A 27,146-nucleotide genomic window follows, 5' to 3' on the forward strand; every position below is an offset into this window, starting at 1 on the left:
GGAAAATGTATTTGGGAAGGAAAGAGAAGATGGCTAAAGCCATGGACAGAGTTTGAATAGGCAAGTAAGAAAACAGGGTCAAGAGGCCGGGTGCGGTGGCTCATGCCTGTAATCCCAGCACTTTGGGAGGCCGAGGCAGGTGGATCACCTGAGGTCAGGAGGTCGAGACCATCCCAGCCAACATGGTGAAACCCCGTCTCTACAAAAATACAAAAAATTAGCCAGGCATGGTAGTGGGCACCTCTACCCCAGCTACGTGGGAGGCTGAGGTAGGAGAATCACTTGAACCTGGGAGGTGGAGGTTGCAGTGAGCTGAGATCGCACCACTGCACTCCAGCCTGGGTGACAGAGCGAGACTCTGTCTCAAAAAAAAAAAAAAAAAAAAAAAAAGCAAAAAAAGGAGAAGAAGAAGAAAACACCAAAGAACAAGGAGACTCAGGAGACTGTGCTAGCAGAAAAAGTATGGTTAGAAAACCCAAGGGAGGAGGGAGTTTCAAGGATGGAAGGCCAACAGAGTCAAATGCAGAAAAGGCTGGAGGCAGTGGCTTATGTCTATAATCCCAGCACTTTAGGAGGCCAAGGCAGAAGGATCACTTGAGCCCAGGAGTTTGAGACCAGCCATCTCTATAAAAAAAATTAGCTGGATGTGGTGGCACTGGTCCCAGCTACTTGAGAAACTGAGGTAGGAGGATCACTTGAGCCCAGGAGGTCAAGGCTGCAGTGTGCCATGTTCATGCCATTGCACTCCACTGTAGCCTGGGCAACAGAGTAAGACCCTGCCTCCAAAAAAAAAAAGTAGAAAAAAGATGAAAACTAAAAAGCATGCAGTACATATGATGATCAAGAGGTCTTCTGAGTGACACCAGAGAGGTTTCAGTGCAGGGGTGGGGTAGGACCCCTAATTTCAGTATGTTAAATACTGAGTGGGAGGTACGGAAGTGAAGACTGTAAAGTGGACTAGTCCTTCAAGTAATCTCTCAATAAAAGAAAGAAATGAGGATAGAGAAGGAAAGAACACACCCAAACCAGTGAAAAAAATGAACCCACATGGAAAGATACACAAATTCTTTTAGGATTTTTAGTACAGCTGAATATAGTCAGAAGCAGTTAATAAAATACCAAAAAGGTGAGGAATAACACTTTCTATAAAGAAACCACCAACCAAAGCCAGATAATATAAAAATCATCATGAATCCAAAGATGTACTTTTTAACACAATTTTAGCACATAAACTAAGTTCATTTCTAACCTAAGTTTGAGAAAGAAAAAAAACCAAACTTCATTATTTCTTACCAAACTTTGGGGTAGTAAAAGTGAATTCTGGACCATCCTTCCCACCTTCATCTGTGTATGCTGCCATTCGTACCATGTACAATGTGTCACTAGTCAAAGAGGACAATGTATATTCTGTGTGGGAAGAATCCACATTCACAGCTGGAAGAAATAAGAACTGTGCTTCATTCAACTATTCAATGCTTTTGCTTATTTGGCCTATATTTGGCATTGTGAAAGTGTTAAAAAAGAAGCGAAGTATTTTTGTTGGAAAACAACTTTTATAATGTTCTGACATAATTTTATGTTCTAAAGCACAACACAATACTTTTTCAATAAATCCATGAAAGTAACCATAAGGCAAATTCTCAGGTGTCTCCTGAGGCCAATATACTATAAGATGTATAAGAAGAACAGACTTAAATTAGTACTTAAAAGCTTAAGGAAAAAATAACTGATTCTTAATAACTGATACAGTTTTATTACCAGTTTCATTTCCAATGATGGTTCTATAAAATATAGTATAATTTCTGATAAATCCATTCTGAACATCAACAGGAAGTTGGTCCCACTCTAAGACAGCTTCGTTTTTCCCTACTTTTTTTGTCCGAACAGTAGGTCCTTTGGAAGGTGCTGTAACAGAGTGAACACATTTGCTAACTGAAAATCATTTACAATCTAGTAAAATTTCCTTGTCATAAAATCATTTGAACATAATGAGATACATCTTTATTTAAAAGCGATAAAATGTTTCTGTTAATACAAAGCCCTAAACTTTTTTTTTCAAAGAAGTGAGTTTGGACTTACGAGCTTGTTTAAGGTATGCCTTTATGGATTCAGGGCTTCCTGGTCCATCAGCATATACTGGAGTAACTGTTATCAAATAGCATTTGCTCTCTGCTAAGTTCCCTAAAGCAAGAATAGCAGATTAAGCATGTTTTTCCATAATGAAAAAGTCAAGTTAATACCGTAATTTATTTTTACATTATAATTTCATGACCACTTAATTTTCTTTTAAAACTGCAGTTTTCTAAGTAAGCATTGTCTTTTGTGTACTGGATTCAAGCTTAATCAGGTAAAACTGTCTGTAAAAGTATTGCCAATGCAGTGGATAAAAAATACATTGTTAAGAACAATGATGGTATTTACATTTAGAATTTATAAAACAATGATCTCAAATTACTCTGGATTTTATAGAGTCTGACAATTTTTGTATGTCTTACCTACAAGAGAGAACAGCCTAAGGAGCAAGACGACTAAAGCAGTAAGACCTAGGGGAAAGCACTAACGGTCCTAGTTTGCGAGTTGGAAAAAAGGGTATCTTAAAAAATTTCCTCGGCCAGGCGCTGTGGCTCACGTCTGTAATCCCAGCACTTTGGGAGGTTAAGGTGGGAGGATCACTTGAGGTTAGGAGTTTGAGACCAGCATGGCCAACATGGTGAAACCCCCCTTTACTGAAAATACAAAAATTAGCTGGGCATGGTGGTGGGCACCTGTAGTCCCAGATGCTTGGGAGGCTGTGGCAGGAGAATCACTTGAACCCAGGAGGCGGAGCTTGCAGTGAGCCGAGATCGCACCACTGCACTCCAGCCTGGGCGACAGAGTGAGACTCTGTCTCAAAAAAACAAAAACCAAAACAAACTTCCTTTATTTTTATCTTTTTTAGCATGCACCACTAAAATTTTTCTTATTTATACAGTATATTATCTGTACATATTAGAAAATGTTTTATTGAAATTTATACCTTCAATAAGAATGTATATTCCTTAACTATTACTCATGAAGTTACATGCTCCTTTACCTTCTTAAACAGATTTTACCTTTTCTTAATGATTCAATATTACCAAAAAATGAACAATTTTTATATTCTACTCTAATGTGATGCTTTCAGGGTTACTGAGCAACATACGACTACCTACCCAAACTTAATGTCTCCACAACTTATGCTAGCTTCTATTTTTTTTGAGATGGAGTTTCGTTCTTGTTGTTCAGGCTGGAGTGCAATGGCATGATCTTGGCTCACTGCAACCTCCGCCTCCCGGGTTCAAGAGATTCTCCAGCCTCAGCCTCCCAAATGGCTGGGATTACAGGCATGTGCCACCACGCCTAGCTGATTTTGTTTTAGTAGAGACGGAGTTTATCCACATTGGTCAGGCTGGTCTCGAACTCCCGACCTCAGGTGATTTGCCCGCCTCAGCCTCCCAAAGTGCTGGAATTACAGGCGTGAGCCACCGCATCGGCTGCTGCTTTAAAAAGTTTCTATTGGCTCTGAGCAGTGGTTCACGCCTGTAATACCAGCACTTTGGGAGTTTGAGGTAAAAGAATCGCTTGAGGCCAGGTGTTGGAGATCAGCCTTTGCAACACAGTGAGATTCCCTCTCTACAAAAAAATAAAATTAGCTGAGTGTGGCAGCATGTGCCTGTAGTCCCAGATACTCCAGAGGATGAGGCAGAAGGGTCACTTCAGCCTGGGAGTTGAAGGCTGCAGTCAGCCATGATCATGCCACCATACTCTAGCCTAGGCAACAGAGTGAGACCCTGTATTTATTTTTTTTTAAGAAGTTTCTATAGTTATTTCCAGCCTGTTTCAGGACTTCCTAAGCTCCACCATGTTTTTAATTTGATAAAGTCAGTAAACTAGATAACCAAGCTTATTAAAACTGTACACTAATAACATGTAAGTCCAAACAGCCTGTATTATGACTAAAGCTCAAAAACTTTATGGCAGGAATCTCTCTGCTTAGGGCTTTTCTCTAATTAACCATATTATTCACAGCTGAATTCTAATTATTAATTATCAACAAAAGACTATAAACTGAGTTTTTTTCTCTTCAAAGTTGTTGTATCACTTTATAACCACTTAAGCAGCACCATAACACACAGACTGGAGCGCTACGATTCATTACTTCTGTCCTTTGTTACTACTTCCAATTGAAAGACATAAGGAAATCTGAGTTCTAGTTCTGCTTCCTCTATCTGATGGTTCTAAGACATTACACAAGTCATCCAGATGCTCTAGGAAACTATTTTCTCATGTGAAGGATGAGGTACAGAGAACATATAACTAATCAGCAGCAAAGGTTGGACTCTTATATTTCTCTATACTCTATAGTTTTAGGAGTTTTCCCTTGACGATAAAATCATATTGGGGTACAAAAAGAAGAAAGTATTAACCCCACTCTGTTCATAAAGAGACTGTAATTCAGAGAGGTTAAGTATGACTTGCTGAAAGTCACACATCTAGTAAGTAGTGAGGCTATGATAAATTGGAAGTCGTTTCAACGGACCAAAACACTATAAGCAAAAGAAAAAGCTGCCTAAAGAGTTAGAAAAAGGATATCAATTTAGATGTTTCTAGCCAGGTATACCTCTTAAATAGGTGCGATGCACGGTACCATCTTCTTGTTGCCAGTCTGTGATACAGGGTGCTTTATCTGATAACACACACCACTCAAGTATATATTTCTTTACAGATTCCCTTGGAGTAGTCCATTCCACCCAAAGCATGTTATCTTTGGGGAATGCTTTAAGATCCATTACAGGGTGAGTAGCTTTAAAACAAAGTTTGAATATTGAAATAATAAATATTAACAAATTTGAAATTTCCATATTTTACAGTCATTTCCAAAACATGTGATTTATCAATTTTTGTAGCATATACTTCCTTGCCTAAAAGCACTTTATTATAACTTACAGGTAAAGTAGTCAATTTTTAAACTTAGATTTTGCTTCCCCGCTGGGCACTGTGGCTCATTCCTGTAATTCCAACATTTTACGAGGCCAAGGCAGGTGGATCACTTGACATCAGGAGTTCGAAACCAGCCTGGCCAACACGGTGAAACCCCGTCTCTACTAAAAATACAAAATTAGCCAGGCATTGTGGTGCGTGCCTTTAATTCCAGCTACTTGGGAGGCTGGTGCACAAGAATCGCTTGAAGCCAGGAGGCAGAGGCTGAGATCGTGCCATTGCACTCCAGCCTAGGCGACAGAGCAAGACTGTCTCAAAAAGAAAAAAAAAAATTTGCTTTCCCTAAATTCTTCAAATGCTTTCGGTTTGTAATTGCAATTTTTCTTCTTTGAAAGCTACGAATAAAGCTACAGATAAACGTTTCAGTCATATGTATACAAAGTTCTCAAAATCTTGAAATAATATTTTAAAAACCAGGTAAGTAATCAGAATATGCTTAAATGAATGAAGTAGCTTACTGTGAAGTTTAAGTGAGCATGTAGTGATGGAAATGTTCTTGCATCCTGATGAAATTTGTCTGCTGACTGATTCCTAAAAATGCGATCACTAGCTGGGTTTGGTGGCATATGCCTGTTAATCCCAGCACTTTGGGAGGCCAGGGGAGATCGCTTGAGCTCAGGAGTTCGAGACCAGCCTGAGCAACCTGGCGAGACCCAGTCTCTGAAAAAAAGAAAATCATTATTTATAAAATTTAAAAAATTAAAAAATAAACAAGTGATTATCCCTGATACTGAGGAGACAGTCTTAGATAACTTGTGTTTTTTATGGGAGCCCTGTCCATACCTAACCACCATTTTTCCACCCAAGAGTCAGGCTCCATCTCACAGATACAAACCTTGAAAGTCACAGGCAGGGATAGTTAAAACAGCTGCATCTGATTTGCCAACAAGATTTCTTACTGTTAGGGTTGCTAGATAGCGATCATTTGTGAGATTTACTGTCAGTTTTGTGGCATTAACTGTGTAATTTTGTAAATGTGATTTCCATCTTGTGAGAGTCACTTCATAATCCAAGATTTTTCCATTGGCTTCAAAAGGAGGCAATGTCTGTAATAAAATAGTTTATTTTTAAAAATAATCTCATAAATCTTGAATAAAAAATCAGTTTTTCTTCATATTCACAAATCATGCCATTATGTCAAATCTCTAAATATTTAACTGGAAAGGATTCACAATCTCCATTTTAAATTTGGTTCTAAAATAAAACTAGTACATACTAAATGAAGAGTAAAAGCATGACCTCAACTAAAAAAGGGTAAGTAGCATCATTCCGTTAGCTTTTGGTTCTGTATCAATTCTGCACTGTGGCTATGTAGGTCTAAATTATTTATTTTATGCTTGAGTATTTTTCTACCTTCTTTTTTAGTATGATCTACTCATGCACTTACCAGCATACATTTTGATTATCACAAACTTTTATTATTTTCTGAGTTACTCTGGAAAATTCCAAAGTACAAAAACAACATTCCTCTTCTTATAGAACTTATACTTTCACAGAACTGTACTTAAATACCTATAAGGTATTATTTGTAGTTTATGAACCTGACTTCTATATAATATTAATACATATAAAGCATTACCTTTCTATTTAGTAAAAATAGTAATCAAATGCTTTGCTATTAAAATGAATAAAAATTTATCTATTTAAAAGACCTCCATTCATAATACCATACAAAATGTATTTATAAGGGCTGGGCGCGGTGGCTCATGCCTGTAATCCCAGTACTTTGGGAGGCCGAGGCAGGCAGAACATGAGGTCAAGAGATCAAGATCATCCTGGCCACCGTGGTGAAACCCTGTCTCTGCTAAAAATACAAAAATTAGCGGGGCGTGGTGGCGCACACCTGTAGTCCCAGCTACTCAGGAGGCTGAGGCAGGAGAATCACTTGAACCTGGGAGGCAGAGGTTGCAGTGAGCCAAGATCACGCCACTACACTCCTGCCTGGCAATGGAGCGAGACTCGGTTTCAAAAAAAAAAAAAAAGATTTATAAGAGATAAAATATAAATGTGATTTTTTACCTTCCACACGAGTTGTACAGTTCTGTAGCCTTGAGTATGGGATGGATCTATTTTATACCAGAAACTTGGTGCTTTAGATGGTCCTAAAGAAAAGACATAAACTCCTTAAAATAAAAAGGTTTTAACAGTAAAATAAAATTCTGCAAATTATTCTTTTACTTTGTTCTTAATACTCTTGCCCTCCAATTGCATGGTGTCTCTACCTCTTTATACCAGCATTTTCCCAACCCAGCACAAAACACCTGGCTCTTCCTTTAGTCAGGGTGATAGCCTGATCAATTATACTGGAACTCTTTTCTAACCTCAAAATTGTAAAGGTAAAAATGTATTCTGAGCAACAACTAAAGAGGCATCACTCTTTCTTATAACTTCATGTTCTTTATTCTGTTTGTGTGCTGGCACTGTATTTATCTACTTGAATCTCCTGTACCAGCAGCCTTTTCCCAGCCTTCCTGGTCTGCCTGTCCTCACTTCTGTTTTGTCATCTGTAATTGCCTCTTCATGATCAACACATCACTGCTTAGATTTTATTCAACTCCTCTCTTATTCTATTAAATACCAGGTCTTCTAATTATATTTATAAAAATTTTGAAAAATTAGTTAATATGATTTTTTAAAGAAAAAAACTTTTTAAAATAAAGTTTTTAACAGTAAAAAATAAAAATGAAATAAACATAAGTTGATACTACTTATCGCTGAAAATCAAACTGGAAAATCTATTTAAACACATTGCTTACTCCTAAATATTCACAAGAATAATAAAACAAATTAAGATAAATGTACTAAAATAAGTTTATTACTTTATATAAGGATGATTGAGAGTGATGGGATGTAATAAAAACAAATTCACAGTATTGTTGTGATAATCACTAACCATCTGAAAAAGCAATCCATAAAACATAGTGGTTTTTTTCCAGAGACAGTGTCTCGCTCTGTTGCCCAGGCTGGAGTGCAGTGGATGACTATAGTGCACTATAACCTTCAGCTCCTAGGCTCAGGTGATCCTCCCACCTCAGCAACCCAAGTAGCTGGGGTTTGGCCACCATACCCAGCCAAAACATAAATTGTTAAATACCAGTAATTAAATTCGGTTTTAAAAATACCTGTAGTATTAATTTTTCAAAACTTATAATAGCCATTAAATGTAGCATATAATTTTTAATTTTTTAGCAATAAGTAATATCAACTGACATTTCATTTTTACTTATCATTGTTAAGCTTTTTGTAAAAAGTTTGTCTTAAAAAAATCAATGGCATTAACTGATTTCTCAAAATTTTTATGAATATAATAACAAGATATGGTAGTCAGTAGAATAAGACAGGAGTTGAATAAAATCTAAGCAGTAAGGCTGGGTGTGGTGGCTCGTGCCTGCGATCCCAGCACTTTGGGAGGCCGAGGGATGTGGTTCACTTCAGTTCAGTAGTTCAAGACCAGCCTGGGCACCATGACAAAACCTTGTCTCCACAAAAAAATACAAAAATTTGCTGGGCATGGTGACACGTGCCTATAGTCCCAGCTATGTTGGGGGCTGAGGCATGAGGATCGCTTCAGCCTTGGAGGTAGAGGCTGCAGCGAGCCGTGTTCATGCCACTGCACTCCAGCCTGGGCAATAGAGTGAGGCACTATTTCCAAAAAAAAAAAAAAAAAAATTTAAGTACTGATATGTTAATCATGAAGAGGCAATTACAGACAGCAAAACAGAAAGGATAGGACAGGCAGACCAGGAAGGCTGGGAAAAAGGCTGCTGGTACAGAAGTTAAAATAGATAAATTCACATGAGTACAGTGCAGCACTCAAACAGAATAAAGAACATGAAATTATTAAAAAAAAATTATGAGCTGGAAATATTTCCTAACATAAAGGGAACCCAGAGACTTCATTCACGCATTGATTTGACAAAGATTATGTACACTTGTCCATTAAAAATGCACACAGGCACTAACCACAATATTTTACCTACATTTTAAACTATTTCATGAACTCCTCCCCATGTATCTCATTTTAAGAATTCCTGGTCAAGACAAAGCAATCTGGCTGAGGACTCCCACAGCAGCAATAGCAAAATTGATTTCTTTCTCAGCATTTATGAGAGAAATCTTAGGGCAGAAGGGTACTTTTCTGCCTTTGATGTTCTCAAGTCACATGACCTAAACCTCTAGAAGAGCTGGAAGTAAAGGGATATAGGTGGTAGGGGATTTTTTCAGCCACAGCTACTGCCATTGATAACTAAGAGATGAGTCTGTGATAGGAAGGTCTCAAAATGAAAAATCTATGCCACGGGATTATTTCTTGAACTTAGTAACATCAGATGCTTTGCAGTGAGGATCTTACTTTAGACTGTACACTCTTTTTGTGCCTTTTTTATTCTATATCATATATATTATCTATAGGAGAAAAAAGGAAAATAAAAACTAACCAACCAAAATTCCAGGATCAACCGCTTCCCAGGGGCTTATCAAGTGCTATTAGAAAAAAAATGAATAAAAGGTATAATACAAGTATATTTTTGATAGTGGGGATCTAAGGTGTAGTTTGCTAGACAGTGTGGTTTTAATGATTCAGGATATGATTCTCTAGTTAGGAGTATCTCTGGACAAGTCTCCTTGAATAAAATGTTCTAGACTTATCAACAGTTAACGGTTTTCTGATAGATGTATCTAAGTCACCATTCCATGATGAATTTTTTTTTTTTTTGAGACGGAGTCTCGTTCTGTCACCCAGGCTGAAGTGCAGTGGCGTGACCTTGGCTCACTGCAACCTCCACCTCCTGGGTTCAAGCGATTCTCCTGCCTCAGCCTCCCGAGTAGCTGGGACTACAGGCGCCCACCACCACGCCCGGCTAATTTTTGTATTTTTAATAGAGAAGGGGTTTCACCATATTGGCCAGGCTGGTCTCAAACTCCTGACCTTGTGATCCGCCCACCTCGGCCTCCCAAAGTACTGGGATTACAGGTGTGAGCCACCGCATCTGGCCTCCATGATAATTTAATTAGGTATCAAATAGACTTATACTATCAATGATCCATATTCAATTTTACATCTTAATGTCCTTAAAAATTAAAACGTTAAAATACTGCAGTTTGAATAAAATGATCACAAACTAAGAAGCAATGAGGCTATATTATTAAAACCAGAACCAGTTCACATCTGGAATTCCAATAGCTTTACTTCTTCATATACTTATGTACTTACTATCTTCATAGGTGATCCCACTTGCTTCTTCACTCCAGTCACTCCAGTATCCCTTACCATCTTCCTTCATACAGCGAATCCTAAACACATATTCTGTAAAAGGTTTAAGGTCTTGGACAGTGAATGAAGATCGGGTGGATGCTGTGTCTTCAGGAGGAATCTGAAACAAAGCAAACCAAACAACAGAAAACCTCAATTAGTAAGGTCTTCTAAATTGTGTTAAAATTCAGAAACTTTTTTTTTTGAGGCACAGCCTTGCTCTGTTGCCCAGGTTGGAGTGCAGTGGTGCGATCTTGGCTCAACACAACCTCTACCTCTCCCAGGTTCAAGCGATTCTCCTGCCTCAGCCTCCTGAGTGGCTGGGATTACAGGTGCCCGCCACCACTCTCAGCTAATTTCTGTACTTTTTTAGTATCAACAAGATTCACCATGTTGGCCGGGCTGGTCTGTAACTCCTGACCTCAAGCAATCCACTTGCCTCGGCCTCCCAAAGTGCCAGGATTACAGATGTGAGCCACTGCGCTCAGCCTAGAAACTATTTATTTTTGAGACAGAGTCTCCCTCTGTCGCCCAGGCTGGAGCTCAATGGTGCAATGGCGCGATCTCAGCTCACTGCAACCTCCGCCTCCCAGGTTCAAGTGATTCTATTGCCTCAGCCTCTTGAAACTATTTTATTGACACAAGACTAATACATTAAACTCAACCTCTGGAGAGAAATAAGTGTAAGTTAAAAAGCAGTCCAAATCAGTAAAGTTATTTGGTTTTAGAAGTATGGAAACATCTATTATCTTTCCTTTTTTCCCTTTATTTCTTCCACAGGGCCTGTAATATAACTTAGGATTTCTGCAGGAAACAGATGGCACACTCCATTTAGAATAATTCAAGGAGGGCTTCATAAAGGGACTACATGCAGAGTATATGGAATCCTTAGACAGTGCAGTTAGTACTCTGGGGCTTAGAGCTGTTTCTACCTCTAGGCCCAAAGGGATGAGGGGAAGTACCAGAACCTGAAAGAAGCCGGTCAGCTAGAGAGGGCTGTCTTGACAGGTAGTGACCCTAAGTTGAAAGACAGCCGGCTGGGTGCGGTGGCTCACGCTTGTAATCCCAGCACTTTGGGAGACTGAAGTAGGTGGATCACCTGAGGTCTGGAGTTCGAGACCAACCTGGCCAACATGGTGAAACCCCATCTCTACTAAAAACACAAAAATTAGCTGGGCATGGTGGCACACACCTGTAATCCCAGCTACTCGGGAGTCTGAGGCAGAAGAATCGCTTGAACTAGGGAGGTGGAAGTTGCAGTAAGCCAAGATCATGCCATTACACTCCAGCCTGGGCAACAAGAGCTAAACTCCATCTCAAAAAAAAAAAAAAAGACAGCCAGTTCCTGGAAGGAAGCAGGGAAAATCAACATGCCAATTTCACTTTTCTTCTGTCTTCTCTCCTGCCTAGTCCCTTCCTTCCATTAACCACAGTCACAAGGAAGCTAGAAAGAATGGAAACCCACAGATGAAATCTATACAGGTCAGCATGACACAACAAAGAGAAGGGTAGAGCGTAGATGTGGACAGGCAAAAGGAAGATATCCAGCCCAATCAAGAAAAACAAAAGTTTTCCTGGCTTTTAAACTTGGCTTTCAGAAAAAAAGAGGAGATTAAATACAGATAAATAACTGGTCATATTACTCTGATAATTTAGTATTAGATACAAAATAAACATCAGTCTTTTTTGTAGCACTGAATTAAGATTCTATACTTAATACCACATTTTGAAGAACTTCAGGTATGTATATTCTCTGTACAACATGAAGCATTAATCCAATTTTGTTTTATTGCTTTTTCTGATTGTATTCTGAGCACTTTAGATAAGTGGGGTAAGGAGAGAAGTAGTAAAGTCATTAGCCCAATTCCCTAACAAGCTCACTGTGACCAGAGCAACAAAAGCAAAGACATACTGTTTGTGATAAATGGAATCAAAACAGAGAAGAGTATGGATAGCTGAATGCTATGGTGATAGCCTTTTTAAAAGCTCCAAGTATTTCTTTTGCTGGTAGCATCATCTTTGGGTATACTATCATTTTCAGTCTTACAAGCTCCCTATCAATCCCTTCCTCTACCTCAGTGGTTGGCAAACTTTCTATAAAAAGGTAGATAAAATATTTACTAATATTTTAGGCTTGTGGGCCAGAGACTCTTTTTGCAACTACTCAACTCTTCCACTGTAGAATAGAGACAATATGTAAAGAAATGAGTGTGGCTGTGTTCCAGTAAAACTTTATTTACAAAAACAAGTCACAGGCTGATTTTGGTGGACTGCAGCACACCAATCCCTACACTAGCTACCTTATCCTTATAATCTCTTTATTTTTGCTCCTCTACTTAATTTGCTTTATTACTTGTATTCTTTGTAACACCCATCAAAAATGCCATTTCTAGGCTGGTAGTGGTAGCTCACATCTGTAATCCCAGCATTTTGGGAGGCCAAGGTAGGAGAATCGCTTAAGGCCAGGAGTTTGAGACCATCCTGGGCAACACGGCGAGACTCCATCTCCACAAAAAATAATAATAATTTTAAAAAGCCAGGTGTGGTGGTGCACACCTGTAGTGAGACTAAGGCAGGAGGATCACTTAAGCTCGAGTTCAAAATTGCAGTGAGCCAGCGGCCTGGGCAAATGGAGACCCTGTCTCTAGAAGAAAAAAAAAAAAAAGCCATTTCCTATCACCCTATATCATTTTCATGTTTTACTTAAAGGCTACTGTATTTAGCAAAGCTGTATTTTCTATCTGGATATCTTCCTGATTCCCCTTGTTTGAAATAACAACCCAGAAGAGGTTATCAAGCAAAATATTTCACATAACCAGAAACTTAAAGACATTTAGAAAATGACTGAAACTTTTTAAGATTAGAGGGTTGAAAGAAGGACTATTTGAATAAACGGTAACTTTCAATTTACCTGGCTCCAAGTTGAGGCATCTTTGGTCCTATATTGAATGTTATATTTTAGTATTATAACACTCTTAATACTTGGGTTGGTCCATGTCAATTTTAAGATACTAGACAGTTCCTCTGAGTTGATCACTGATAAATTATGTGGCGGATTGGGCTTCACTGAAAAATAAAATAAATCCTAAGGTTTATTATGTTTTCCAATTTCATATACAAACTCAAATATACTCTTTATATTGTCCTTCCTTTATTTTACAATAATTTATCCTTACCAAATGAACTAATTTCTCTGAAAATTATGCTATGCTATATACCTTATAATGGAAAAAAAAAGATTTCTAAAGAATCTTCAGTTCTCCTTGTTAATTTACATTTGTTAATCTCTTCAGGTTCATATGTCAAAAGACAAATATTTATGATATCAAATTTTTAAAAAAGAATAAAAATGGAACATACATACTGTAATTACAATGGTGTAAGATGTTTGAGAACAGAAAACATTCAAAGTGAAAACAGCTGTTAAGTGTGGTTGGATTATGGATATTTTTCTTTTTCCAAATTCTATTTGATATTATTGATAAAATGACTTCATAAAAATCACTAAGATAAATGCTTGTTTCTACATTAATTAAAATCTAAAATCTACATTAATTAAAATCTAAAAAAGTAAAATCTAAAAACTACATTAATTAAAATCTAAAAATCTACATTAAAATCTTAAAAAATCTAAATATAAAAACTACTTTAATTTGTAAACGACTACAGTGTCAAATAAACTCTCAAATTCAGGTTTATAACTACCTTTATATACAGGATCAAAATTGATATGATCTGATGTAACCTTCCCAAGGGCATTCTCTGCTTCTACCCAGACTTCAATGTTGACAAAATACACAGTAGAATAATCAACAGTGCATGAGGTGGGGGTGTCACGTTTTGCTTTGCAATCAGCAAACTTGTGTGTTGCCCTAAATACAAAAAATTGAAGAATCAGTCATTAAAAACACATCTGAAAAAATTAGAGTGAAAAAAATTACTTGCAAAGAGTTTGATGAGACCTAGATTGTTGTAGCAAACTTTGCAATATAACTGCTGGTCACTAACAAAATTTCTTAAAAATAAACCTTTCTTTAAAATTAACTTTGATCTATATCTTAAAACATAAAATTATTTTCAAATTTGTAGTCTAAAAATATTGTGCTTTAAAATTTTATGCTCCATCCCCACTTACTCCTCTCCAAAAATTATCTATTTCCTTGTGATCCCAGTGCTGTTTTTTCTTTTTCCTAAAACAGAACCCTTACTGTACCACAAATTTCTTTAAGCACAATATGCTAGAAGGTGACAGGAGGTTAGGGGTAAGAATTTCTATTACCCCTTAGCCTTTAGTCTTAGGGCTAAAATCTCTTAGCCTCTTTCTAGTCAAACTTAGGCAACTACTTTCTGATTTCTATCACCATGGAAAGTTTCAAGTAATATTACTATATTTATTTACAATTATATAAATTATGCCTCAATTAAAAATATTCATATACAACACTGTTTTTAAAAATAGGATAAACCAAACCCCAAATTGAACCAAAACAAAAATGGTTAGCCTCTAAGGAGAAGGAAATAAGGTAGAGGATTCAGGAATAGAATATAGACTTTTCTGAACAAGCCTTAATACTATTAATAGATTTGACTTTTTGGATTGTTTTATATAATTATTAAGAAAAATTCCTAAAAATTAAAAGCAAAATGAAACATATGAACTTGTGTACTGAGTATGTAGTATAACCACATAGAAAAGAACTATTCCAAGTAACATTAAAACACAGTAATCTGACTATTACACATCCTTCACAGAGAAAAACAATCTTAAAATCATTCTTGGTAATCATTTTGTTGGTGCTAATACTGTTGTTATTATTCTGCAGCTGCTGTATTAACCGTAGGATAAAGCAAATGAATAATTATGTTAGTGTTGTTGTCAACTATGTTTTTCAGTTCATAAGAAAGAAGATGTAGACGTCAGGTAAATATAATTATGTAAAAACCTATAGCCCTAATTTTAAACTGAAAATATCAGTATGAATTTGTATTTTTAAAAGATAGTATTATATCTCAAACCACAAAACATGTCCTAGCTCTTTCGACTGAAAAAATCTAAAAAATCTAAAAACTATGACAAACCAGTAGTGATGAATTCCTGTAGCACCCAGATTGTAGTCTGTAAATATTATTTCACACTAAATGAAACCAGAGAGTTTTGGGAAAAGGTTGATTCCAGGTCTGGGTGAGGAAATACATGATGACCCTGTAAAAGCATGTTATATCAGAGAGCTATCAAAGGCTAAGGAAGTTGTGTCAAGACGATGAATGAGCCGGGCGGGGTGGTGGGTGCCTATAATCCCAGCCACTCGGGAGGCAGTGAGCCGAGATCACGCCACTTCACTACAGCCTGGTCAAAAGAGCAAAACTCTGTCTCAAAAAAAAAAAAAAAAAAGGATGAATGAGCCAATTTGAGTAAACTGCCACTGATCAAAGATGGGACAATCCATAATGAGTTAAAACATATCAAATATGTTTAAATATAAATTTATAATGAGAAAGAAAAGCCCTCATTATTCTACCTTTGGAGGATACTAGGGAATCAACTAATTATAAAACTGGTAATTAAGGAAAAATATTAAACCTATCTTGCTTCTCCTATCTGAACTGTACTTCAGGGTAAACCACAGTTGATAAAGGCAAGTTTTTCTTTAAGTATTTCAGCTAAAACAAAACACAGAATACCATAGTTTTGTAATTTATATACAAATTATAATCACTGATGACTGCTCAAAGCTGTAAGGGAAATACTAGTGGGAAAACAACATGATTAAATTTCGGAAACATTCTGTTGAGTTATAAAACTTTTCACAGAAGAGTATATACTATATAATCCCATTTATATGAGACATTCTGTAACAGGAAAAAATAATCTATGGTGAAGAATATCAGACAGGTAGTTGCTCATGGGGTGGGGCACTTGCTGGGATTGACTGAAGGAGCAGGAAGGAACTTTTTAGGTGTGTTAGTCATGTTCTATGTCTTGATACTGATTGAGTTACACAGGTGTCTGTACTTGTCAAAACTCACTGAATGATACACTAAGATTTGTGTTTTCACTATATGTAAATTTTATTTAAAAACATAATACTGAACTCTAGTTCATGTAAATACTGAAGTGATTAAGAATGAGGTATATTAATGACTGTAACTCACTATGAAATACTGAAGTGATTAAGGGTGAGGTATATTAATGACTGCAACTCACTATGAAATACATAAAAAAGAGATAGATTGAGAGATGGAGAGAAGGATGCATAGATAAATAGGTGATAAAGCAAAGATAGTAAAATGTTAATTGTAGAATCTAGGGTATGCAAGAGTGTTCACTGTAAAACTCTTTCAACTTTTCTGTTTGGAAAAAACAAATGGGAAACTTAGTAAATAAAGGAATAAGGCTGACAACACCCGAAACCACTGCTCAATCTTAGTATCAGAAAAAAGAAAAACAGTGAAACATTATCTGGTCTTTCCTGACAGAAGTACACATCACTCCTACAAAATATTTTTTTGGGGAAAAAAAAAAAATCAAACCCAAATCTGATGAAATCTGTAGATCTAAAAGCAATTTTTTGGAAAGAAAAAGACAAGGGGGCCAGGCGCGGTGGCCACGTCTATCATCTAAGCACTCTGGGAGGCAGAGGCAGCCAGATCACGAGGTCAGGAGTTCAAGACCAGCCTGACCAACATGGTGAAACCCTCTCTATTAAAAATAGAAAAAAATTAGCTGGGCATGGTGGCACATGCCTGTAATCCCAGCTACTCAGGAGGCTGAGGCAGGAGAATTGCTTGAACCTGGGAAGCGGAGGTTGCAGTGAGCAGAGATCATGCCACTGTACTCCAGCCTAGGTGACAGAGCAAGACTCCATCTCAAAAAAAAAAAAAAAAAAAAAAAAAAAAAAAAAAAGACAAGGGAATATGTTAAACAATGTACAATGTATAACAGTTTAACAACTGAAATGTAAGAAAAAAGAACAAATAGAACCTATAATTTAAGAGACAAGACATAAATTCACAAAGTATGGAGCTTATTCGAATCTTGACTGAAACAAATGTAAAAAAAATTATACATATAGGCATATTCATGAGACATAGGGGAAATCAACACTAACTGAAAATGTAATATTTTATATCTGAGTGTAACAGTGGTATGTTGTTATGCTTTTTTTTAAAATGTCCTCATCTTTTAGAGACGCATACTGAAATATCTTTGGATGAAATATGATGCCCGCGATTCTCTCTTCAAGACAATATAGGCAAAGAGTACCTTTGAAATAAGACTGGTCATGAGCTGACCAGTGTTGAAGCTGAGTGATGGGTATGTATGGGTATTCTACTATTCTTTCTACTTTTATTTTTTATTTATTTATTTTTTTTGAGATGGAGTCTCACTCTGTTACCCAGGCTGGAGTGTAGTGGTGCAATCCGGGCTCACTGCAACCTCCGCCTCCTGGATTTAAGTGATTCTCCTGCCTCAACCTCCGAGTCACTGGGATTACAGGCACCCGCCACCATGCCTGGCTAATTTTTGTAGTTTTGGTAGAGACAGGGTTTTGCTCTGGTTGGCCAGGCTGGTCTCGAACTCCTGACCTCAAGTTATCTGCCCACCTCAGCCTCCGTAAGTGCTGGAGTTACAGGCATGGGCCGCCGCGCCTGGGGGATTACAGGCATGAGCCACCGCGCCTGGCCTCTACTTTTACATATATTTGAAATGTTACAGAATAAAAAATTAAATGTTTTAAAATAGCATTTAATATTATTACTTGGTAAAATAAAAATTCCAGCAAAAATGACTAACTTTAATAAATCTAACATGAAACAAATTTAAAATAACGTACCATTCAGATTTTAAAGTGAAGTTTGTCTCCAAGTGTGTTTCCCTTCCACCATCCCACTCACACCTCATTTTCTTCCCCTCGTTCACAATGCAACTCAAATTTTTAGGTTTTTCTGGAGGCACTAAAAGGGATTAATTAGCATCTTTCAGAAAGCTTTATATCCACAAATATTATGCAATTTATATACTACCCAAGGCATTTGCGATCTAAATTAGATGAAAAAAATCAAACCCAAGCAAAAAGTATGGACACAATGAAAGGCTGATGACAATTTCTTTTCTATCCCAACTCTTACACTTCTTTTCAGGAAGTAATATATATACATCCATCCTAACTGTCATCAACTGGTTTGTTTCACATTAATTTTCTATGTAAAATCAACTTTCATTTATAACTGGAAAAAAATATCAACTGATTTCTCCATTAAGTATATTTTTAAAAGTAATATATACATATGTTTGTAAGAGGCAACTAAGTAGAAGCCAAAATGATTCATTTATATTTCTCTTCTTATTGCTTTCCCAAACTCGTTGGAAGAAAAGCAAATGCCAAAACAGTAAAGTCTGGGTGATCCACAAATTAGATAACCCACTTTTGGATCATAGTAAGTTTATTTTGTTTACTTTGTTACTCCAAGGCCAGGCACAGTGGCTCACGCCTGTAATCCCAGCAGTTTGGGAGCCCGAGGCAAGTGGATCACCTGAGGTCAGGAGTTTGAGACCAGCCTGGCCAACATGGCGAAACCCCATTTCTACTAAAAATATGAAAAATTAGCCGGGCGTGGTGGCTCATGCCTGTAGTCCCAGCTACTTGGGAGGCTGAGGCAGGAGGATTGCTTGAACCCGGGAGGGCAGTGAGCTGAGATGATGCCACTGCACTCCAGCCTGGGTGACAGAGCGAGACTCTGTCACCAAAAAAAAAAAAAGGATTTACTCCAGTATTTGTTCGCTTTCTTCAGGTAGCTGCTTTACACGTGCATTTTCTCAGCAATTAAGGGATACTGAGAATTACCATCATTATGTCAATTCAACAATACTTTCCTGTGGTGGGGGGGGTCTCATGTCAAATATTTCTCTAGTAAAGTGAAACTGCTTGACTTTCAGGAAAGACAGGAGACTTGTGGTTCCTACTTCTAAGCTTATTTTTTAAAAACCAAACATGTCCAAGTCACTAAGTCCACAAGTTACTACATTTTATAAAGATGAAAGGACAACATTAAAAATGCAGTTCAATAGTCATGACAAAGTCTGAAATAAGACAAAAACAAAACTTACAGCCTGAAATTATTGTGATTCCATAAACATTCTGTTCAAGCTGTCCGAATGTAAGAATGTTGCAAGTGAGCTGAATATTTAATGAAGCTATATCTGTAAAGGTGACACTGGATGCTGTTCTGTTTATGATAGTATATTGCTCCTTAGGAATAGTAAAATGGTTTGTTTTCCAGACAATGTAATTAGCATTTACATGAAAATAATCCATACATTTTTCCTTTAGCACACAAACTGCAGTGAAATTAGAATGAAGTTGTACAACTGGAGATTCAGGACTGATATAACCACATGGATCTAGAAGTTCACCTAAAAAGGAACAATAGAAAATATATAAATGGACTGAATTTTTCTGGTACAAAATGATATCTAGCTGGTAGCACTCAATGTAGAGTCCCTCAACCGTCACTAAAATATCCCTAAAGACACAGAAAAAGACAATACACAACTGAAAATTAATATGGTTAGAATTTAATGCCTGAATTTGTAAAGAAATATACAAATTATAAAGATAATAGAGCTGAATTAAGAAAAACCCATTCATGCTTTATAGCCCATGGTATAAACTATTTCTTTAAGAAACACAGACTGCCTGCAGCATGATTCATACTTGCCCCACAACGTATCCTGTCCCTCCATTTAGATCCCAGGTCTAAACTAAACTCTCCAGAAAACAGGCAGTGGTGGTCTCCTCTACAGTCCTGAATGCTGTTGTGGAGTACAGTTGGGGTCACAGACAGTATACATTGTCCACACATCAAAACTCAGACAACAAAGGAAACAGCAAGGGACCAATACAAAACAGGAAGAATAGAACAAGATGGCCAAATAGTTTAGTTTTAAGAATAAATGCATGGCCCTGGGTATGATGGTTTGCGTCTATAATCTCAGCACTTTTGGGAGGCCGAGGCAAGAGGATCGCTCGAGCTCAGGAGTTTGAAACCAGCTTGGGCAACATAGGGAGATGCCATCTGTACTAAAAACAAAAAAAATTAGCCGAGCATGGTGGTGCACGCCTATAGTCCCAGCTATTCGGGAGGCTGAAGTGGGATGATGGCTTGAGCCCAAGGGGTCAAGGATGTAGTAAGCCACTGCACTCCACCCTGGACAACAGAGTGAAAATAAATGCATGGGATAGGATCCCCTATTTAAAAACAAAGAATCAGCCTAACCAACATGCTAAAACCCAGTCTCTACTAAAAATACAAAAATTAGCTGGGTGTCATGGTGGGCACCTGTAATCCCAGCTGCTTGGGAGGCTGAGGCATGAGAATCACCTGAACCCAGGAAGTGGAGGTTGCAGTGAGATCACGCCACTGCACTCCAGCTTGGGAGACAGAGTGAGACAGAGTCTCAAAAAACAAAACAAAACAAAACAAACAAAACAAAACACAAAGAATCAGATTGGGTAAAAGAGAATTAAACACAACTACATGCTTTACCTATCACCTACTCCACATTGATGACATCTCAATCCCTATCTCTAGCACTAAACCCCCATGCTTTCAATAGCCCATTAGACATATATCTACCTGAGATATCCCATAGCTATTTTTAAATGAGCATGTCCAAAACTATTATGTATCATAATCTTTTCAAACTTATTATTTTTTATTCTTATTTCTCTGCCTCTGCTAACAGCACCACTCCCATCCAGACATCCAGGACAGATACTCTGTAGTCATCTTCCAACATCTCCAATTAGCCTCCTCTAACCTCCAACTTAACAATAGTGCACTGTATTGGTTCTATATGCTTAATAAGCATATCAACATCTTCTTTCCAATGCTACTTTGACTGCTGAAGCACAGGATACTATATCAGTCTGACCTCCTTCCAGTTTATCTTACATACTACTGTCAGTTACTGTTCTAAAATAATTAGGACATTTGTCTACTTTAAATTATTTAGTGGCTACCTACTACCAAGATAAAAGTCCCAACTATTTGACATGATTTTATTCTTTTTCTCTAGCTTCAATGTCCACAATTTTAAGGTGGCTTTCCTCAATGAATCCTATTTGCTGTGGGGTTCCTGGGTAGTTACCCATGAAGTGTTTTTGAGATTAAAAATTACTAGCCTGGGCAACATGGCAAAACCCCATCTCTACAAAAAAAATATAAATATTAGCCAGGCATGGTGGCACACGCCTGTAGTCCCAGCTACTTGGGGGTGAGGGTCGTGTGCTGAGGCAGGAGGATTGCTTGAGCCCAAGAGGTCAAGGCTGCAGTGAGCCCAGAAAAAATTAAAAACAGTTTTTGCAGTCAAAATTGTATCCCCAAATGGAATCCCAGGACCTCTCACAAAGCCTGTAAAACCCAGAGCTGGAATGTGTATTTCTTTGTTTCAAACTTATAATGTGGTCTGTTTATATCATCTTGCTGTTATTTATAAATGCCTACTGTAAATCTTAGTGCATATATTACTCTCAATTTCCAATAGCATGGTCCTTCATCCAGTGGAGAATCTCTACTAAGTTACTCTCTGATACTGGGTCAGACCTTACAATTCCCTAGACATCACTTTATTCTTTGGCAAAATCACTTGTTATACTTTCTCTAAAGTAATCATAGGGATGTTAAATATGAAATATACTCTAGAGTTCTAAAAAGATATAATTAGAGACTCAGTATGAATAATTTTTAATCACACAGAATAAGAGAAATATTAAAAATGGGCAAATGGGCTGGGCGCAGTGGCTCACACCTGTAATCCCAGCACTTTGGGAGGCCGAGGTGGGTGGATCACGAGGTCAGGAGATCAAGGCCATCGTGGCTAACATAGTGAAACCCTGTCTCTACTAAAAATACAAAAAATTAGCCGGGCGTGGTGGCGGGCGCCTGTAGTCCCAGCTACTTGGGAGGCTGAGGCAGGAGAATGGTGTGAACCCAGGAGGCGGAGCTTGCAGTGAGCCAAGATCACACCACTGCACTCCAGCCTGAGCGACAGAGTGAGATTCAGTCTCGAAAAAAAAGGGGCAAATGTTCCGTTTTTCAAAGTGAGACACAGCTTCAATAATACCATCCCATGTCAAATTAATCCCATTTTACAGGGCTACCAGGCTGAGATTAAATTGTAAAAAGAAAGTATTTTAATTAAGAAAGGTATCTGATAAAGTTATTTTGAATGTTTATAGGGCAAGATGAAGAAATGTGAATTAGAATACACTATAACTGGGTTGGACGCAGTGACTCACGTCTGTAATCCCAGCACTTTGGGAGGCCGAGGTGGATGGATCACCTGAGATGAGGAGTTCTAGACCAGCCTGACCAACATGGTGAAATCCCGTCTCTACTAAAAATACAAAAATTACCCGGGCGTGGTGACCTGCACCTGTAATTCCAGCTACTCAGGAGGCTGAGGCAGGAGAATTGCTTGAACCTGGGGGGCAGAGGTTGCAGTGAGCTGAGATTGTGCCACTGCACTCCAGCCTAGGCAACGAAACGAGATTCCATCTCAAAAAAAAAGAAAAAAAGCAAAAAAAAAAAGAATATACTATAACCGATATTACAATGAACATTATGAAATTGCTGATATTTTGCTACTTTTATAGGTTCATACTCAAATTTATATTTGATTACCCATATATAAAAAAACTGACTTAAGAAAAAAGTCAATTAGAGGATAGTCTTAAGTAGAATATGCTGAAGTGCATGCCCTCAATCCTTGGAGAAGACTGTATTTTAAGAATGGCCACACCTACATATTTATCCCATCCCACGTTTTTCTTACGATGTCACGCATACTCTTTTCATGAAGAGGTGGGGACTGCATTTCCCCCAACCACATCAGATCTGTATGGGTGCCTTGTGTCCACTCCAGCCAATGGAGTGTGCTATGAGACTTCAGAGGCTAGATCATTAAAAGAATACAGACTCCAATTAGCTTTCTTTCTCTCTCCCGGGATATCTGCCCTTAGAACCCAGCCACACATTGTAAGAAAGCCAGGGCCATAAAAAGAGGCCACGTATGGTGTTTTGGACAATGGCCCCAGCAAAGCCCTCAGCCTGCAGATACCATTAACAACAGACATATAAGCGAAGGAGTCTGAAGATGACTCCAGCCCCCAGTCTGAATATTGCAGCTGAGGCCCCAGACATTGTACAGCAAAGATGAATACGTCTGATTGTGCCTGCCTATCTATAGTCTTGTCCTATACAAATCATGAGAGGTATTATTATCATTTTAAGCCTTGAAGATTTGGAGTATTTGTGAGGCAGCAACAGGTAGCTAATGCAGTCCTGTTATTTTCAACATTTTAATCAACAACTTGGGAAAAGACAGACACACATGCTTATCAAATTAGCAGAGGACAGGACTACAAACAACTGCCAACACTTCGGATGAAAATGTTGGGATTTAAAATTATGCTGAAAGAGTAGAACACCAGGCTAAAACTGATAAAATGAAATTAGCAACAGAGGAAATATATCCTATTTAGGTAATAAGAAATATACATTGGGTGAGGGAGAACTAGTTTAAGAGTAACTCATGTAAAAACCACCTGAGAATTTTCACTGATCACTAGCTCAACATGAAACAAGGGTATATCTCAGCTACCACATAGTTACGTAACTTTATAAAAATGATGTTCAGATCAAAGTAAGTATGAGTGCCACTGTAGTCAGATTGGTTTTGGTATATTACGTTTATTTTTTTCATAAAGAAACTTTTATTCAAAGACAACAATAACCTTTATAATAAATATGCAGTAACTATCATTTTTATAATGCTTACTGTAGGCCAAACACTGTCCAAATATTTCCTCTATATTAACTTATTTTTGGTTGTTTTTTGAGATAGGGTCTCAGTCTGCCACCCTAGGCTGGAGTGCAGTGGCACAATCTCCACACACCGCAACCTTTGCCTCCCGGGTTCAAGTGACTCTCCCACCTCAGCCTCCCAAGTAGCTGAGACTTTCAGGCATGTGCTACCAAGCTCAGATTTTTTTTTTTGGAAACAGGGTTTCACTCTGTCACCCAGACTGGAGTGCAGTGGTGCAATCTTGGCTCACTGCAACCTCCGCCTCCCAGGCTCAAGCGATTCTCCTGCCTCAGCCTCCTGAGTAGTGGGGATTACAGGCGTGCGGCACTACCGCCTGGCTAATTTTTGTATTTTTAGTAGATACGGGGTTTTACCATGTTGGCCAGGCTAGTCTTGAACTCCTAACCTCAAATGATCCACCCATCTCGGCCTCCCAAAGTGCTTGGATTACTGGCATGAGCCACCATGCCTGGCCTCTATATTAACTTCTTTAATCCTCACTAATAACCCTAGGAGGTAGTGGCCTTTATTATCACCATTTCATAGATCAGGAAATTGAGGTACAGAAAATGACTGACCAAGGTCCTACAGCTAGTAAGGGGGACAGCTGGGATAGTATTATTCATACACACACACACACACACATACACACACACACACACACACACACACGTACACATAAATATTTTTACGAGACAGGGTCTTGCTCTGTTACCCAGGATAGAGTGCAATGGCGTGACCATGGCTCACTGTGACCTCGAGGTCCAGGGCTCATGATTCTCCTGGCTCAGCCTCCTGAGTAGTTGGGACTAGAGGCATGATATGGTTTGAATCTGTGTCCCCACCCAAATCTCATGTCGTATCATAATCCCCAGTGTTGGAGGTGGGGCCTGGTGGAGAGGTGATTAAATCATAGGGGTGGATTTCTCACTTGGTACTGCCTCGAGATGGTGGATGAGGAATGAGTTATTGTGAGCTCTGGTCATTTAAAAGTTTGTAGCACCTTCCCTTTCTCTCTCTCTTCCTCCTGTTCTCGCTATGTGAGATGCCTCACTCCCCCTTTGTCTTCTGCCATGACTGGAAACTTCCCAAAGCCTCCCCAGAAGCAGATGCCACCATGCTTCCGCACAGCCTACAGAACTGTGAATCAATTAAACCTTTTCTTTATAAATTACCCAGTCTCAGGTATTTCTTTATAGCAGTGTGAGAATGGACTAATACTTGGCTAATTAAAAAAAAAAATTGTAGAGATGGGGCCTTGCTTTGTTGCCCAGACTGAATTCCTGGACTCAAGTTATTTTCCTGCCTATGCCTCCCAAGGTTCTGGGATTACAGGTGTGAGCCACCATGTCCAGCCAGTATTCTATTTTAAATGTAATACAGGCAACTAAGAGAAGAATCAGTAGGGTAATCAGCATGCACAGGGTTAAAAACCAGATCCTATAGAATGATTAGATATCTGGGTAACTGTAATTTGGGGACAAGGACTTACAGACACAGGAAAGCAGCCCTTCAATACCTGAAGAGCATGTAGTATGAATGACGTAAAATTTAACAAGATTTAACAAATTTTCTCCTATTCATTTACTGAAGAAAAAAAAAAAAACCCACACACTTCTTTCCTTCCCCATTTTAAAGTTATTGTTAGTATTGATATACAGCATTTAAGATTACTGACTTAAATTACTGACTTAGCATGTAAGATGACTGTTACAACTCAAATTATACAAAAACAGATTATCAAGAATATTTTTATTAAAATCAATTTAAGATATTATTCTCTCGATTATCCTAGAAAGAATATATGAACATAATAATTAAACATAAGCTTAATTATATAATAATATAAAAATATATAAACCTAATTTGTGAAGTTAGAAGATAGGGTATTTCATGAACCTTACCTGTAGATTCAGTGGTGAGGAAAATAAACAAGGCTTGCACTAGCCAAGTCTGCAACGTCAACATCTTGCGCGGATATTTCTGCAACAGACACATGTAATATTACTTTTAATATTTTTTCTCTTATATACACATAATTTAAGACACAATCTTGTTTCCATGCTGTAGCTGTGTTTCTAAAAGGTGGTAAAATTCTTATGAGAATGTAGAAAACTTAAGTCTTCACATTATTTTTCTTTATTCCCACTGAAGTTATGGCTATGGAAAACACTGCTAGAAAACATAATTTATACTTTAAGGTTAATTAAAAGAGATATCTTGTTTCTTTCTTATGTGAAGTCTTATATTAGTAAATAACTGTGAGATTAAGAACTTCAGACTGACAAATTTCTACATGGCAAAACTCACCATAATATGTATCCTTAAAAGATACCTGACAAATGGAAAAAAATGTTTGTAATTCATAGCATGGCCAAAAATTTTCCCGATATATAAAGAATGCCTACAAATCACTAAAAAATTCTAACACCTAATAGAACAGGCAAACATATTTGAATAGTTTATAGAAAAGGAAATACAAGTAAATCAAGCATGTGAAAAGATACTTTCAACCTCACTCAAAATGAGAGATATAAATTAGAACTACTCAGATAGGAACGCAAAATGATACAGACACTCTGGTAAACAATTTGATAGTTCGTTACCAAGTTAAAAGCACACCATAAGACTTGGTATTTCCACTCCAAAGAGCGTACTCCCCAAAATAAAAACATATGCCCACAATAAGACTTATACTCAAATGTTCACAGCAGCTTCATTCATAAGTCCCAAACTGGAAACAATCCAAATGTCCACCAACTGCTGAATGTATAAACATACATTCAAACAATGGTAGAGACATATAATAGAATACTACTCAGCAAACAAAAAAAAAAGAGTATGAACTGGTGATACATGCAGTAGTATGAATGAATCTCAAAAGCATTACACTGAATAAACGAAGCCAGACACAACAGGTTATACATTGTATAACTCTATTTACAGGAAATTCTTTTTTTTTTTAAGAGATGGGGGTCTCACTATGTTGCCCAGGCTGTCTCAAAC

At 37.8% G+C, this 27,146-nt stretch overlaps 1 protein-coding gene across 10 annotated transcripts in view; it reads right to left on the reverse strand.

Moving 5' to 3' along the window:
* Positions 1-27,146, reverse strand: part of IL6ST (interleukin 6 cytokine family signal transducer) — a 59,869-nt gene that overhangs the window by 15,076 nt on the left and 17,647 nt on the right. For 2 of the 10 annotated variants that reach the window (NR_157112.2, NM_002184.4), the window contains exons 3-14: positions 26,045-26,123; positions 19,380-19,685; positions 18,106-18,226; positions 13,976-14,142; positions 13,182-13,336; positions 10,232-10,391; positions 7,039-7,121; positions 5,855-6,065; positions 4,640-4,822; positions 2,080-2,181; positions 1,759-1,905; positions 1,294-1,434 (exon numbers count right to left, since the gene is read on the reverse strand). Coding sequence is in view for 8 of the 10 variants with exons in the window: in NM_002184.4 (NP_002175.2) it covers positions 1,294-1,434; positions 1,759-1,905; positions 2,080-2,181; positions 4,640-4,822; positions 5,855-6,065; positions 7,039-7,121; positions 10,232-10,391; positions 13,182-13,336; positions 13,976-14,142; positions 18,106-18,226; positions 19,380-19,685; positions 26,045-26,108 (1,840 nt within the window). In the remaining 2 variants the exon portion in view is untranslated. Of the gene's footprint in view, positions 1-1,293; positions 1,435-1,758; positions 1,906-2,079; positions 2,182-4,639; positions 4,823-5,854; positions 6,066-7,038; positions 7,122-9,455; positions 9,502-10,231; positions 10,392-13,181; positions 13,337-13,975; positions 14,143-18,105; positions 18,227-19,379; positions 19,686-26,044; positions 26,124-27,146 lie in introns of all 10 variants that reach the window. The other 8 variants (NR_120480.2, NM_001364276.2, NM_001364277.2 and 5 more) reach the window with 8 other exon arrangements.

The sequence above is a fragment of the Homo sapiens genome, chromosome 5 (assembly GCF_000001405.40).
Source record: "Homo sapiens chromosome 5, GRCh38.p14 Primary Assembly".
NCBI lineage: Eukaryota > Metazoa > Chordata > Mammalia > Primates > Hominidae > Homo > Homo sapiens.